Source organism: Homo sapiens, chromosome 5, assembly GCF_000001405.40.
Source record: "Homo sapiens chromosome 5, GRCh38.p14 Primary Assembly".
NCBI classification, from domain to species: Eukaryota; Metazoa; Chordata; class Mammalia; order Primates; family Hominidae; genus Homo; species Homo sapiens.
The window spans coordinates 84,709,866-84,726,597 of record NC_000005.10 but is presented as its reverse complement, the minus strand read 5'-3'; positions in this window follow the sequence as shown (position 1 = coordinate 84,726,597).

Below are 16,732 nucleotides of genomic sequence, written 5' to 3'. Positions count from 1 at the left end.
AAATATATATATATATTTTTAAGTTGTGTTTTAAAAAATGTTTACCATATCTTATATTCTTATATACTGATAATCATATGTGTGTATATTTATTCACAAATACAGATACATATATACATATATATAGAGAGAGAGTATGTGTCACTTAATAACAGGTATATGTTCTGAGAAATGTGTTATTAGGCACTTTGGTTGTGCAAACATCATAAGCTGTATGGTACAGCCGGTATAGCCTATTGTTCCTAGGATATAAACCTGTATAGCATGTTACTGTACAGATTATTGTAGCCAATTGTAACACAATAGCAAGTATTTATATATCTAAACATTTAAGCATAGAAAAGGTACAGTAAGCATCTGGTATAAAATATTTTTATAATGGTACACCTGTATATAGTATTTACCATGAATAGATCTTGCAGGACTGGAAATTGCTATAGGCGAGTCAGTGAGGGAGTGGTGAGTGAATGTGAAGGCCTACAACATTACTGTACACTACTATTGACTTTATAAACACTGTACACTTGCACATTTGGGCTAGACTAAATTTATTTTTTAATATTGTTCTTCAATAACAAATTAACTTTTTTTTTATTTTTTTGGCTCTGTGATAACACCTAGCTAAAACACAAACAGAAGTAACTACACAGCTGTACAAATTATCTTCTTTTTAAATATCCTTATTGAATACACTTTTTACTATGGTAAGGTTTTTTTTGAACTTTTAAAACTTTATTTGTTAAAAACGAAGACACGAACATAAACAGTAGCCTAGGCCTATATAAGAGCAGGATCATCAATATCACTGTATCCTACCTGCACATCTTGTCCCACTGGAATGTCTTCAGTGCCAATAACAGGCCTGGGATCGTCATCTACAGTAACAATGCCTTCGCCTGTAATACCTCATGAAGGACCTGCCTGTGGCTGCTTTATACTCAACTTTATTTTAAGTAGAAGGAGTACATTCTAAAATAATGATAAATCATATAGTAAATACCTAAACCAGAAACCATCATTTATTATCATTATAAAATATTACATACTATACATACTTGTATGTGCTATATTTGTCTATGAGCAGCAGTGCAGTAAGTGTGTTTATATCAGCATCACCACAAACACATGAGTAATGTGTTGCACTATGACGTTATGATGCTTATGACATCACTAGGTGATGGAAATATTTCAGCTCCATTATAATCTTATAGAACCACTGTAGAATATGAGGTCTGCTGTTAATTGTTGTTATGAAGTGTTTGACTATATATCATTACATAAGGGTATCCAATGATAACATAAATGTGCTCATGATTCATTCATAGTCAATCAGAAAACATGGGGAAATGCTACTTATTGTGAAGCACATACAAAAATAACAGAAAGACAAATATTAGCATTAAATACTGCTGTCTATAATTGTTTTCACCTATTTGTATCTTTTACCTTTATTAGACTTGACAGGAGCTGTGTATTGGAACCACAGGGTCTGTTTTCCAGAATAGCCAGGCTTTGATCAGTGCTCTCCTTTTCTTTTCAAAAGAGAGTGGCTTCTTTTTAAAATAATATTTTTTTGCCATGGTTTTAATTAACTCCTTCATGCAGCTAGAAGGAAATAAAAGTACTTTCTTATGTGCTTGTTTTTGCTTGTCAAAACAGAAGCATATTCTGCTACTGCGTGGGTTCCATTGTTGCCAATTAGTCACCCATTCCCAACTCTGGCTTAAAATGATGGCATATGACTCAGCAGCACAGCTTTTGTTGTGTATATTTGAATATTTTCATTTTATGATGAAAATGTTTAAATGTAAGACAGTAAAAATGATAGTATAATAAACTGATCATATATTGAACACCTAGTTTCAACATTTATCAATGTTTGCTAATCTCTCTTCTATTTCCCACATATTTTATTTCAGTGTTTTAAAGCAAAACCCTGACATATCATTTCTCCTATAAATTCTTCACAATGTAATATCTCTAAAAAATAGAGTTTTTTTAAAGCTAACCACAACACCATTATCACACTTAATCAGGTCAACAGTATTTAATGTTAATTGATACCTAATATGTGTCCAAATATTCCTGATTTTTGGTTTGATCAAATTAGATTCACATCAGCTCAACTTATTGCATTTGCTTAAAATGCCCCTTACATAGTTTCCTTTCACCTGTACTGTCCCCATGGCCTTGCCATTTTTTCACAGCATTTATTTGTTGAAGATAAGCTTATTTGCCTTATAAAATTTCCCATGTTCTAGATTTGGCCTACTTCCGCATTAGGTCATTGAACATGTTTCTTTAGCCCCTAAATTGCCTGTGAATGGGTATATATATTTAGTGGCATAAGACTTAGCTTGAATATTTTTTAGCAAAAAAGCATCATCGGCGGTAGTGTGTACTTATTGTATCATACCAGGAGGTACAGCAAGTCTTATTGTCACATATTTAGAGATGTTAAAATTAGTCAGTTTATTCAGATGTTGGCAGTCTAATTTACCATTGTAATTCTCACAAATTGAATTTCTTACTTTGTTTCACTCATTTTCTTCATGGATCTGGATGTCCATATCCCTCCCAAAGTTTGGAAAGTTTCAGCCAGTATGTCTTTAAATAAACTTTTTGTCCCTTTTTCACCCTCTTCACTTTCTGAAACTTCTATAATCTGTATATTTGTATGCTTGATAGTGTGCCATGTTTCCTTTATGCTTTCTTTACAATTTTTTTCTTTTTTCTTCTTCTAATTGCCTAATTTCAAATGACCTCCCTTTGGGTTTGCTAATTCTTACTTCTACATGATCAAGTTTGCTGTTGAAGTTCTCTATCGAATTTTTTTTTTTTTATTTCTGTCATTGTCTTCTTCATCTCCATCGTTTCTGTTTGGTTCCTTTTTATAATTTCTACCTCTTTATTAAACTTCTCATTTTGTTCATGCATTATTTTTCTCTTTATTTAGTTGTCTATCTGTATTTTCTCCATTTCATTAAGTTTCTTTAAAATAGTTATTTTGAATTATTTTTCAAGCAAGTTATAGATCTCCCTTATTTGGAGTCAGTTACTGAAGCTTTATTAGTTTTATTTAAGGGTGTCACGTTTGCCTGATTCCTCATTATTCAAGTGAACTTGCATTGCTGTCTCTGTATTTGAAAGAAGAATAACCTCTTTCAGTCTTTACAGACTGGCTTAGGCAGGTAAAGGCCTTCTCCTCTGAGGCCCACAAGCTAACAGGATTGCTTCCAGCATCACGGTCAAGTAGAGTTGGAGCCAGGTCATGTGGCTGCTGCTGAGTTTACAGTGGGGTCCTCACTTGGCAGGCCAAATTGTCATGGACTGTAGTAAGTGTGGATCTTGTCTGGTCTTTGGGGGAACTGAATTACCTCCAGGACCTTGGTCTTTAGAGTTCGCACTGGAATGAGGGTCTGTTCAGAATCCACAGACAGTGGGCCCTTATCAGGTACACAGATAGCTATCCCTTTCTCTGGATCACTGAGAGGGCTCCCAGTGGGTCATTTGTGGAGTCCCTGGATAAGGAATACTGGCCCAGGATTGTGGCTAAGAGAGCTCGGCACCAAGTCAAAGGGATACTTTAGAGTCCACAGCCAAGACCAAGCTCTGCGGGCCTGCCTCTGGGGCCATAGGCAGACATGTCTCCCAGTTGATCTCTTTTCAAACTGCAGGTAAGAGGTATTGAAGTTGAGTTTTGGAGTTGTTTCAGGACCTGCTATGGAACTTAAATCAGCAAGACTGCCCTGGCGATTCATATGGACATTTTTTCCTTTGCATTCTGTTCAAACAGGCCTACTCTCAGAATGCAGTTGAGAGGAGCTAAAGCTGAATTTCAGGGCCACTTCAGGGTCCACAACTGGGACAGAGATTGGCAGATCTATGACTTGAGACATAAGCGGGTGTGGCTTTTCCCAGTTCTCTTGAGCGGATGGTTCAGGTAGCAGGATCAAGGCCAAATGTGCACGTAGCCAAGTCCACAGGGGGATGTAACAGTTTTCTGGTCTGGAGCAGGAAACTCACTTGATGATTCTATCACCCGGGCATGGGTGTGCCTTCTCAAAATGCCCCTCTCAGGTATTGTGGTCCTTTGGGCTTTCACAACTTCCTGTCTGAATACCAGGGCTCCCACAAAGGCACTTTTGTCCATGGATGGCTGCAAAATTATTTTTGCTGTGGAAAGATATGAGTAGGGGACTTTCTCCTGCCCTCTTGCTAATGTCACTCCTCTCTATTATACTTTAATAAACAACACCCTCAAACCCTTTTCCAACAATTTTTGTTTTCAATCTTTCCCAGGCTATTCTTGCATAATTATCTTTCTGAATAAATTTTAAATTCAACTTATCTAGCTTCTAGAAAAAATGCATATTTTATTGTGATTCAGTCATATTTATAATTTAACATAAAAAAACTAGGGACAATTGACATTCTATAAAGTTCAAATATTCCATACAAGAATACTTTATTTCTTGCAGGCCAAGTTCAGTGGTTCCTGCTTGTAATCCCAGCACTTTGGGAGGCCGAGGAAGGAGGATTGCTTAAGCCCAAGCATTCAAGACCAGCCTAGGCAACATAGGGAGACTCTGTCTCTACAGAAATTTTTAATGATAATAAAGAAAGAAAAAAAGAAAGAACATTTTCTTTCTTGCAAATGCTTTTCTTTTGTTCAACTATACTCTTGTTCCTTTCAAGAGCATTGTATTGACTTCCTTATTTGTTGTTTTATCCCCTCCACATTGCCTAGTATCTTTATACTTAGTTGATTTTTGTTTCTGTATGAGGAATTTTCTCCTTCATTGTATCATTTAACTGGCTATTGTCTATGTATATAAATATCCTGCATTTCAGTGAAACCAAATTATCTTCATAATAGTGGTTTTTTTTTTTCCTGTATGAGGAATTTTCTCCTTCATTGTGTCATTTAACTGGCTATTGTCTATGTATATAAATATCCTGCATTTCACTGAAACCAAATTTTCTTCATATTAGTTGATTTTTTTTTCCTGTAGGAGGAATTTTTTCCTTCATTGTATCATTTAACCGGTTATTTTCCATGTACATAAATATCCTGCATTTCAATGAAACCAAATTTTCTTCATCACAATCAACAATCCGTATTTGATTATAAATACACTTCTTCAGAGTTACAGTTTACCATGGCTCTTCCATATGATTGAATTCCATTTTTTTTCATTATGCACATTTTTTTAAAATCCCAGCAAAAATTATTTGGCTTTTTCCAATTTTGATATATAGGTAGAAATGTATGTTGAAAAAGGCAATCTTCTGTGCAGTCTTTTGACCTCCTCTCAGTCAGCTAAGAATGGAACACTTTCCAACCAAGAGTGAAGAGGCCTCACACCCCATGCCATACTTAACACCTTGTATATGAATCGCTTTTCCGGTTTTAGACTCAATGTATATGTCTTTGTTCTACTTTAGCATGTGAATTATATGGCACCTGGCCAACTACACTACTATGTCTGTCCCCTGTGGGGAGTGGACAGAGTCCTTCTGTTGCAGCGCAAGAACAGTGTGCAGGCTAATTGCGCCGTGCCAGTTCCCAGGACCTGCTGGCCATGGAAGACCAATGCCTACTACTGAAGCTGGTCTTCCTCTGTCTCTTTTCTTTGTGAGTAAAGTGTATTGGCCCAGTGCTCGACTGCATTGTGTTTTCCTTGGCAACTCCAATACTCAGATGCAGTGGGGAGAAGTATTCCAACTTCTGCTTCTGACAACAGGCCACAGACACCACTTGTTTGACAATATACCATTGGGTATGTTGAGGTAGAAGATTTGAAAGTCAATGAGAAGATTCTGAACAAAGTTCTTATTAGTATCTTTAATAAAGTTTTAAAGTTGATGTAGTGTATTAAACAGGAGTTTGGCTTGGATTCACTTTGTTAAATAGAGAAAGGTATAATGTATTCAAAAAATAACGTTTTACAATTTTACCAGCCAGAGAACATTGATATTTTGTGATGACAGAAATACTTTCAAAACATGTAACTTGGGCCATAATTTAAGAAATGATTATCTAAAAAGAAAACTTTTATTTTAGGTTCAGGAAAACATGTGAGGTTTTGTTACATAGGTAAACTCAGGTCATGGGTGTTCGTTGTACAGATTATTTTATCAGTCAGATATTAAGCCCAGTACCCAATAGTTATCTTTTCTGCTCCTCTTCTTCCTCCTACCTTCCCCCTCAAATGGACCCCAGTGTCTCTCGATTCCTTCTTTGTGTTCATAAGTTCTCATGATTTAGCTCCTACTTATAAGTGAGAACATATGGTATTTGGTTTTCTGTTCCTGTGTTGGTTTGCTAAGGATAATAGCCTGCAGCTCCATTCGTGTTCCTACAGAAGTCTTGTTCTTTTTTTATGGCTGCATAGTATTCCATGGTGTATATGTACCACATTTTCTTTACCCAATCCATCATTAATGGACATTTAGATTGATTCCATGTCTTTTCTATTGTATATAGTGCTGCAATGAACATTAATATGCATGTGTCTTTATGGTAGAATGGTTTACATTCCTCTGGGTATATACCCAATATAGGATTGCTGGGTCAAGTGGCAGTTCTGCTTTTAGCTCTTTGAGGAACCACCATATGCTTTCCACAATGGTTGAACTAATTTACGCTCCCACTAACAGTGTATGAATGTTTCCTTTTCTCTGAAACCTCACCAGCATGTTATTTTTTGACATTTTAATAATAGCCATTCTGACTGTTGTAAGACGGTATCTCATTGTGGTTTTGATTTGCATTTCTCTAATGATCAGTGATATTGAGCTTTTTTTCATATGCTTATTGGCTGCATGTATGTCTTCTTTGAAGGTGGGTGTTCATGTCCCCTGCCTACTTTCTAATCAGGTTGTTTGTTTTTCTCTTGTAAATTTGTTTAAGTTCCTTATGAATTCTTGATATTAGACCTTTGTTAGAGGCATAGTTTGCAAATATTTTCTCCCATTCTGTAGGTTGTTCACTCTGTTGATAGTTTCTTTTGCTGTGAAACAAACTCTTTAGTTTAATTAGATCCCGTTTGTCAATTTTTGTTTCTGTTGCAATTGCTTTTTGCATCTTTGTCATGATGCAAAGACCTGGGCACCTTTGCCCATTCCTATGTCAAGAACAATATTCCCTAAATTGTCTTCCAGGGTTTTCAGAGTTTTGAATTTCACATTTAAGTCTTTAATCCATCTTGAGTTGACTTTTGTGTATGGTATAAGGAAGGGGTCCAGCTCCAATCTTCTGCATATGGCTAGCTAGTTATCCCAGCACCATGTATTAAATAGAGTCTTTTCCCCATTGCTTGTTTTTGTCAGCTTTATCAAAGATCAGATTGTCATAGATATGTGGCCTTATTTCTGGGCTCTCTATTCGTTTCATTGGTCTATGTGCCTGTTTTTGTATCAGTGCCATGCTGTTTTGTCTACAGTAGCCCTGTAGTATAATTTGAAGTCAAGTAACATGATGCCTCCAGCTTTGTTCTTTTTGCTTAGGATTACCTTGGCTATTTGGGCTCTTTTTTAGTTTCATATACATTTTAAATTTTTTTTCTAGTTCTCTAAAGAATGTCATTGGTAGTTTGATAAGAATGCATTGACTCTGTAAATTGCTTTGGGAAGTATGGCCATTTTAATGATATTCCTTCTTTCTATCCATGAGAATGAGATGCTTTTCCATTTTTTTAAAATTTTCTGTCTTCTCTGGTTTCTTTAAGCAGCATTCTATAATTCTCATTGTAAGATCTTTCACTTCCCTGGTTAGCTGTATTTGTTAGCTAAATAAAATTCCTAGTTATTTTATTCTTGTTGTGGCAATTGTGAATGGGAGTGTTTTCTTGATTTGGCTCTCAGTTTGGCTATTGCTGCTATTGTTGCTGTATAGGAAGGCTAGTGATTTTCATGCATTGATTCTGTATGCTAAAACTTTGCTGAAGTTGTTTATCAGCTGAAGAAGCTTTTGGGCCAAGACTATGTGGTTTTCTAAATATAGAATCACGTCATCTGCAAGTAGAGACAGTTTGACTTTCTCTCTTCCTATTTGGAGGCCCTTTATTTCTTTCTCTTGCATGATTGCACTGGCCGGGACTGCGAATACTATATTGAATAGGAGTGATGAGAGAGGGAATCCTTGCCTTTTGCTGGTTTTCAAGGGGAATGCTTCCAGTTTTTGCCCATTCAGTATAATGTTGGCTGTGGGTTTGTTATAGATGGTTTAAAAAGAATTTTTAAAAAGATGATTCTATTGGGCCCTTTGGCTTTCTAGGCCTGACAATCATTAATGAAATTAAAGTAAAAATCCCTGGAAGAAATCAAACATTGCTTTTTTTGGATTGTTTAATGATTTTTATCTCCAAATGCATGTAGAAATTACTATTGATAAAAATGATATCTGTACAAACAATATATTTTTAATTACCTTTGCCTTTATTCAATGCTCTTTTGCCCCTATTCATTTAAAAATTGTATCCAAATTCATACATGTAAATTTAAAGAAGCTTAGTTGTCCTTATAGGAATATCACCTGTGAATAATTCCTCATATTACATGACATCTGCAGAGTTCACTATGCACTTTTGCTTACAATGCCTGCTGCCTCAAGTTCTCTGTAGCTTCATTAATGTATCTGTTTATTAGTCATGTTTACAACTGAATTTCCATGGGTAGAACTGGACTCTGTGTTGTACTAGTGACTTGATAAAAGTAGGGCACAGAAATGAGAAAAATATACAAACACATTAAAATATACAAACGAGAAAAGTATACAAACACATTAAAAAAGATATTTAAGTACATCTGTAAAAATATATTACTATACATAAATATATATCAGTACAATAAAACTATGAAAAAAGTTAATATTTGCTTTTTTAGAATTAAAGGGTATATGTCATATAGACTTAAGAGATTTTTGAAACACAATTCTGGCTATGAAGGATGTCTAAATTTAGCACGCAATCCATATATAAGATATGCTTAATTTGTACATGTAAACTCGACTTTGGAAGGGAAAGAAGTTGACTAGTAAAGAGGAGTTGCAATAGGAGACAGCACTCTCTTCAGACAGACTCTTAATCTTCCCTGGTGGCCCTTGCTTTAGGAACTGCACTTAGCTATAGATGATGAAGTTCACTGGACTGTAGTAAATAATCCTATTCAGCCCGTTCATACTCTTCAGGGAGAGGGGGGAAGATAGTTTAGCGGAAGGGTGCCTCTGCTCATTTATTCCGCAATAGTCACTACTTGATAAATGGCGCTAATCCTCTACAGAAATGTTCCAATCACCTTTGTAATTACTTACTATATGGAAACACGGTGAATGTGGCCTTAATTATAGTGCTATAAGATATGAAGTCTGAAACGCATTGTTATCGATATAAAATGGAAAGACATTGTGTATTCATAAAATCGAAGATTATATTTAGTGTGAAATTGTTTCGAAGGTCATAAGCAAACTTGCAAGTTAAAAGTGACTGATAAGACCTACTCTCATGTTTCCCTTTCTATATAATAGAGTAAATAGTAAGATTTAAAAGTCATATTTCCAGGGTTAGAATTTGAAATCTGTTAAATTTGACTATGCTGAAATTCTTAGTCACATGAAAAATTTTAAATTGGGTTATTATCGTTAGCATTTTCTCCCTTAAACAGTCTACATGATTCAGTGTATCAGAGAAAATGGAGACGCTCTAAATTAAGGTGAATTAATAATTCTGATTTAGAGGAGAGGCAATTTTAGCCTGGCTAATTTTTCATGTCTGCTCAATTAACCTCACAGTGCTTTAGAACAAAAGGCAGTGTGATGAGTATCATTTAAATTAAACAAATGCCATTTATCTGTCAAGGTACTGACTTATATCAGCCACTCCAAGCCAAAACCACAGTATCAAATGGAGTGGACAAGCTAGTGGGTCACTGGGATTTAATCCTCCAGCATTTGAGAAATCATGCATAGCATCATATGTGAGTTTTGCTATTTAATGAGCTCTTCGAGATCATCTAGAAAAGCAAGACTAGGTTATCTACCCAGTAGAATTTGTAAAATACCCAGTTAATATTCCACTGTGACCCTTGTCACCAGGGAGAGGCACTTTCTTCTGAGAGCGATGTCAATGATTTCTAATTAAACATTATACCTCTCATTTTACATTCAAGGCATTTATTTTCAGAAATTGGAAAACAGATATCATTACAGGGTTGCCTGAGTATCTTTCTGTTTAGCAGCTACAGTCACCAATGATGCTTTCCCAATAAAGCATTTCCGTTCCAAACAGATACAAAATTTGAAAAGAAATTAATTGAATATCACAATTTACTAGAAAAGAGAATTAATTACTCCTACTCAGCATTCACACTCTTCATATGGACAGGCATTATACATTTTAAAATCATTATCTATGTTTTGATAGTCAATATTTATTATAGTCTGGTCTCTTTTTCAATAATTTTTTAAAAGTCTATCAAATGGAATTTGGAATAAAGTTTCACTCAACAATCATTTTGTAGATACCCAGCTATATTTTGAATTTTAACATGAAATATCAAAATGCATTTTGTCACAGAGCGATTTTTATCTCTGTTCAATAATATGAAATTTTCTTCAAAAACCTCTATTAAACTTATGAGACCACATAGCCAGCCTATGAGAAAGGCTGACTAAGATCTAGATGTGTGTAGTAAACATGACTAATGAACAAGATGAGGCAGGAAGGCAGAGGCCCTTAACGAACAAGACCTAGCAGCTTCCCGAGTTTGGTTTAAGCTAGGAGGTAAGACATCAGAAGAGAAGGTTGATTATCTGTTTCTCAACACTGCTCCCAAATAGGTCCTACAGATTCAAGTTCAACCCCAGTAATCAAGATTCTACAAACTAAAATGTACTTCTCTAAATTTCTGTGAAATGTTGACTGCCATTTAAAAAGGCATCACAACTTGGAGGTAACAGTTATTCTGCTGCTGATGAACATAAGCATTAATCATAGAATTTCAATTGGTTTTTACTGCAGTGTTTGGGGCTCTGGGTACTGGAAGCATCAGGAGCACCAGCCATGACCTCCCAATATCAGAAAAAGTGGTAATTTTAGAGAATTCGGGAACTGACTTACCACTTGGATCGCAGCAATATTTCAAGATAGTATCAAGTTAGGAAAGGAGAAATGGAGAATTTCATCTTTGTACATTAGAGATTGAGTTCTCTTAGCATATCTCAGATAATCACTCAAAGGTGATTCCAGAAACATTGGGGATGAACTTGCACAGGACTGCAGTCTCCAAGGGATCACTGGGAACAGAGCCAGAAAACTTTAGAGCTGTGCATGGTACTGTTGTGCAACTTCTTCAAAGAGTATGAAGTGAGAAATGGCAGTTTGTCCAGAAAATTTCTGTTTTCATTTATTTATTTGTATAAGGTAGGACATAAAGACTACAATTATTTTTAAGACTGTTTAGTATCTTATTAAAATGCCAAGTGCTGAGTCTAATCTCTTATAATCAATACTTCACTAAAAATTTGAGCAACACTGAAGATATTAAAGATATTCAAGTGTATGTTTTTCAAATTTCTACTAATATATACTAGTATCAGCTTTCCCCACTTAACACTGGAAATAAATGGAGAATCATTACAAATTTAAATAAGCTAGATTTTTCACAATTACTAAAAACAACAATTATTTTTACTATATTTGTATATAATCATTTTTAAATTATTTTTTCACTTTGGATTTATAGGGCAAAATTACATAATTTGAATTAGATATTTACTTAGGAATAGATTTAAATGTTTATGTTATTCAGAGAGAAACAGTTATATAAATATTAGAATACTAGGGACAACAAAAGAGAAACCATCTCAAAATAATGGGTCTTCATCTATTTATATAGCTCAGAGTATTATTTCCAAATGACACTCATTACATAAATATATTATCCTGAAAGGATGGCTTATTCTATATTGCATATAAATTTCAGGAAAATCGAATAGGAAATAACTCAAATTTCATAGGGTAGGACAGTGGGAGTTATAGCAAGAAAACACAAGAATTACCTAGGTAAGTGAGTTCTTGCTAGATTTTCAGGCAAAAAATCATGAGACCAAAATAAGGGGAAATTTTAAAAAATGAGTAGAGGTATTAGAGTTATAAATTACAAAAATAAATTAAAATCTTGCATACAATGGCTGATACATTTTATTTCTTATGCCAGTCCTGATTTTTATTTTTTATATGAGAAATATCTAATGCTGTATTCAGATCAAATGGAAAAACATACTGGAATCAATTATTGATGTGTTTCATTGATAAGAGAGATAGTTGGTAGAGCAGTAGGACTGCATGTTTGACCTCCTTGGTATCAATATTCTTCTGTAAGAAAAACTCAAAACATATCAGGAATTCTATAATTCCATTTCTCAATAATAATACTTTTTTTTTTTTTTTAAGATGGAATCTTGCTCTTTCGCCAGGCTGGAGTGCAGTGGCATGATCTTGGTTCACAATAATACTTTCTATTACAGATCTTAGTTCTATCATAGGTTTGGTTCTGCAAGATCTTGCATTTATTTAGACACATTTAGACTCTCCTCTTGTTCCCAGACACATAACAGTAATAGACAGAAAAGAAAAAAAAAAAAAAAAAAAAACAGATGAACCGATGAGAGAAGGAAATAATCAGGCTTACAAAATAGTCGTATTTCTGTGAAATAAATGGGATAGAAATGAAAAGTGGTGAGTTCTGAAGTGAGCTGAACTATAAGCAAGTTGGCCTTCATGTTGTTTAGAAGCAACTGGACAGATCCAGCATGAACTTCCTCAGAGTATTAGATGTAGAATTTGCTTTATGCAAGGCAAGGTCTCAGAGTCAAGTTGACACTTGAAACAAAGATTGAGACTGGTCTCAAGGGTTCAGTAGAGAAGGCTGAAGAAATCTATTGCAAACCTTTACCTGGGGCTAATCTTAAGTGAAGCTGCTGGCTTACAGAGGCAGGAGGAAAGGTAGTCTCATGACAGGAACTCAACAGCCCACTTATTAAGTCAGTGATCGAGTTTAAAACATTTTGCAGTATCATTGCACTGGAGGAGCACTAATCTGTCAATAACAGGCCTGGTGAGGAATTTGGAGTCTAAAAAGATGTGAATAATTGAAAAACCAACAAAAGGTATGTCAAGTTAAGACAAAATAAAAGAGAGAAATATAAGCCTGCAAACAAAAATTCAAACAGAAGAAGATAGCTAATGTTATGGGAGACAGAAAATGAAACCAATGCTCACTAGATTAATTTATTCAGATTAAATGAATATATTAGAACTTTTGATAAAGGTTTTGAAAACATGTTATTTAAGGAACACAGAGATTACAGAATATATGTTAGTGGTATTATAAAATGAGAACAGGCAGAAATAGGACAAGAAGAAGTGAAAAGTAGAAGGGAGGGAGAGATGTAAAGGGAAGAAAAGGGAGTTCTTCAGACTGAAATGAAAGGACACTAAACAGTAATTCAAATCTACATGAAGAAATAAAGAACTTCAAAAAACATAGCTACAAAGATAAATACAGATATTCATAGTAATGTAGTTTAGTTTTACTACTCTTTATTCCCTAAAGAACAAATGCATAAAACAATAAGTATAAATGAATAGTGATGGACACAAAATGTATAAACATGTAACTTGTGACAATAATTAAATAAAGAGATAGTAGAGCTATATAGGAGCAAAGTTTTGTACACTATTGAAAGTAAGTTGGTACTTATTTGAGCTAAATTGTTATAAATTAATACATTAATTATAATGCTCTGGCAACGACTAAGAAAATAACTAAAAATTATATAGTTTAACAAATGAGAAAAGGAATTGAAATGGTACAATAGAAAATATCTATCTAATAAAAAGGAAGACAGTAATGGAGAAATTGAGCAACAAAAAGACATGTAAAATGAATAGCAAAATGGCCGAAGTGATTCCTTTCTTATCAGTAATTACATTACAACAAATGGATTAAATGTTCCAATTTAAAGGCAGAGACTGGAAGAATGGCTTTTAAAAAATGGTCCAACTATATATTGTCTATAAGAGATTCACTTTAGATCCAAAAACCCAAATAATTTAAAATTGAAAGGAGGAAAAATATATCCCATACAAACAGTAACCAAAAAACAGCGGTATGGGCTATACTAAGTTAGATAAAATATATTTAAATACAAACATTACTATAAGAGACAAAGAAGGACATTACATTCATACCCCCTTATCATGGAGATATGTTCCGATATCCCCAGTGGATTCCTGAAACCACTGATACTACCTATACATAGTGCAGAAATCATTTTTATCTTCTCCACAGCTTTACAGATATAACATTCATTTTTACTGTAGACCTTAGAAACTTTAGCATACAATTTTTTGTTATTAAATGTAGTACTTTCACCTTTACACTTAAAAGAAGCACTTTACAGCTTCTCTTTGGCATAACTGAATTGCCAGCATCACTACCTTAGTGCTTTTGGGCCATTATTAAGTAAAATAGGAGTTACTTGAACACAAGCACTGAGATACAGTAACCATGGATCTGATACACAGCTACCAAGTGAATAACAGGCAGGTGATGTATACAGTGTGGATGCACTCGACAGAGGGGTGGTTCCCATCCTAAGTGGGACAAATCTTATGATGACACAAGATTTCATCACGCTACTCAGAATGCTGTCCAATTTAAAATTTATGAAATACTTATTTCTGAAATTTTGTATTTAATAATTTTGGGTCACTATTGACCACAACTGAAACCACAAAAGGCAAAAGTTTTGGATAAGGAAAGATTACTGTAGGTAACAATAAAGAGGTCAATTCATCAAGAAGATATGACAATTATGTTACATTTATGCACCTAACAAGTCTCAAATATATGAAGCAAAACCAAACAGAATTTAAGGGAGGAATAGATAGTTCAATAATAATAGTTGGAGACTTCGGCACCTAACTTTCAATAATGGGTATAACAACCACGAGAAAAAAAAAAAGGGAGAGAGAGAGAAACAAGTGCGTAGAAGACTTGAACAATACTATAAACCAATTAGATCCAACAAACATATAGAGAACGCCCCACTCAACAGCAAAATACGTATTTGTTCTCAAGTGCACATGGAATATTATTCAGGATAAAATATTTTAGGATGCAAAAATCTCAAATTTTTAAAAACTGAATCATAAAATATCTTTGTCAATCACAGTAGAATGAAATTAAAAATCAATAGCAGAAGGAACTATTACAAAAATGTGGAAATTAAACAACACAGTCTTAAAGAATGGATCAAATAATAAATTATAAAACTGAAAAATACTTTGAGCTGAATTAAAATAATATTAATTAATATTATTAATATTATTATTTAATAATATTGATATTATAATTCATAATATGTTATATTAATATCATTTGATAATATTGATATTATAAACATATTATATAATAAATAATATTATTAATAAGCTGTGAAAATAGTAATCAGAAGAAAATCCTTAGTGCATTTGAACTGTAATAACAAAACACCATAAACTGGGTGACTTTATAAATTATAAAATTTATTTCTTACAGTTCTGAAGGTTGGGAACTCCAAGATCAAGACGCTGGTAGATTCAGTATCTAGTGAGGGTTCACTCTGTGTTTCATAGATGGCATCTTCCAGCTGTATCATCACATGCTAAAAAGAGGCAAAGTAACTCTCTGGGGGCCTATTTATAAAGGCACTGATCCCATTCATGAGGTTGGCTCCACCTTCATGACCTAATCATTTTCCAAAGGCCTTACCTTCTAACATCTTCACTTTGATGATTAGGTTTCAACACATGAATTTTGAGGAAACACACCTTTCAGACCACTGCAGAAATTTATAGCTATAAATGCCACATTAAAAAAGAAGGAAGGTCTCAAATTAACCTAACTTTACGCCTCAACAAGTCAGAAAAAGAAAAGCAGACAAAATCAAAAATTAGTAGAAAAAAATAATAGTGATTAGAGATCAAATAGTGAAGAGAAAAATAAAAGGAATAAACAAAACCAAAATTGGCTATTTGAAAAGATTTTAAAAATTGACAAACTGTTAACTAGTGTTAACTAGGGGAAAAAAAAGACTGAAACTACTAAAATCAGGAACGGACATGAGGATATTATTACCACCATTATTGAAATTAAAGAGGATTATAAGAGAATAATGATATGAACAATTGTACACCAACAAATTGCATAACCTAGATGAAATGGATAAATTTCTAAGAAACAGAATCTATCAAAATGATTCAAGAAGAAATATGAAACTGAATACCACTAGAACAGATAAAAAGATTGATTACATAAGCAGAAAACGTTCAACAAACAAGAGCCCAGGGTCAAATTATTTAACTGGCAAATACTACCAAATACTTAAAGAAAAATTAACACCAATGTTTCTCAAACTCTTCTGAGAAATGGAAGTGAACATTTCCTAATTTGTTCTATGAAGCCAGTATTAACCTACCACCAAAGCCAAAGGTATTACAAGAAAACTGCAGACCAATACTACTCATGAATAAATACAAAAATCTTCAACAAACTGAATTCAAAACATATTAAAAGATTTATACAGCACAACCAAGTAGGGCTTATGCCAAGTATACAGGTGTGTCAACACAGGAAAATTATTATATCTAATATGCTACATGAATAGAATGAAGAAAAATATCAG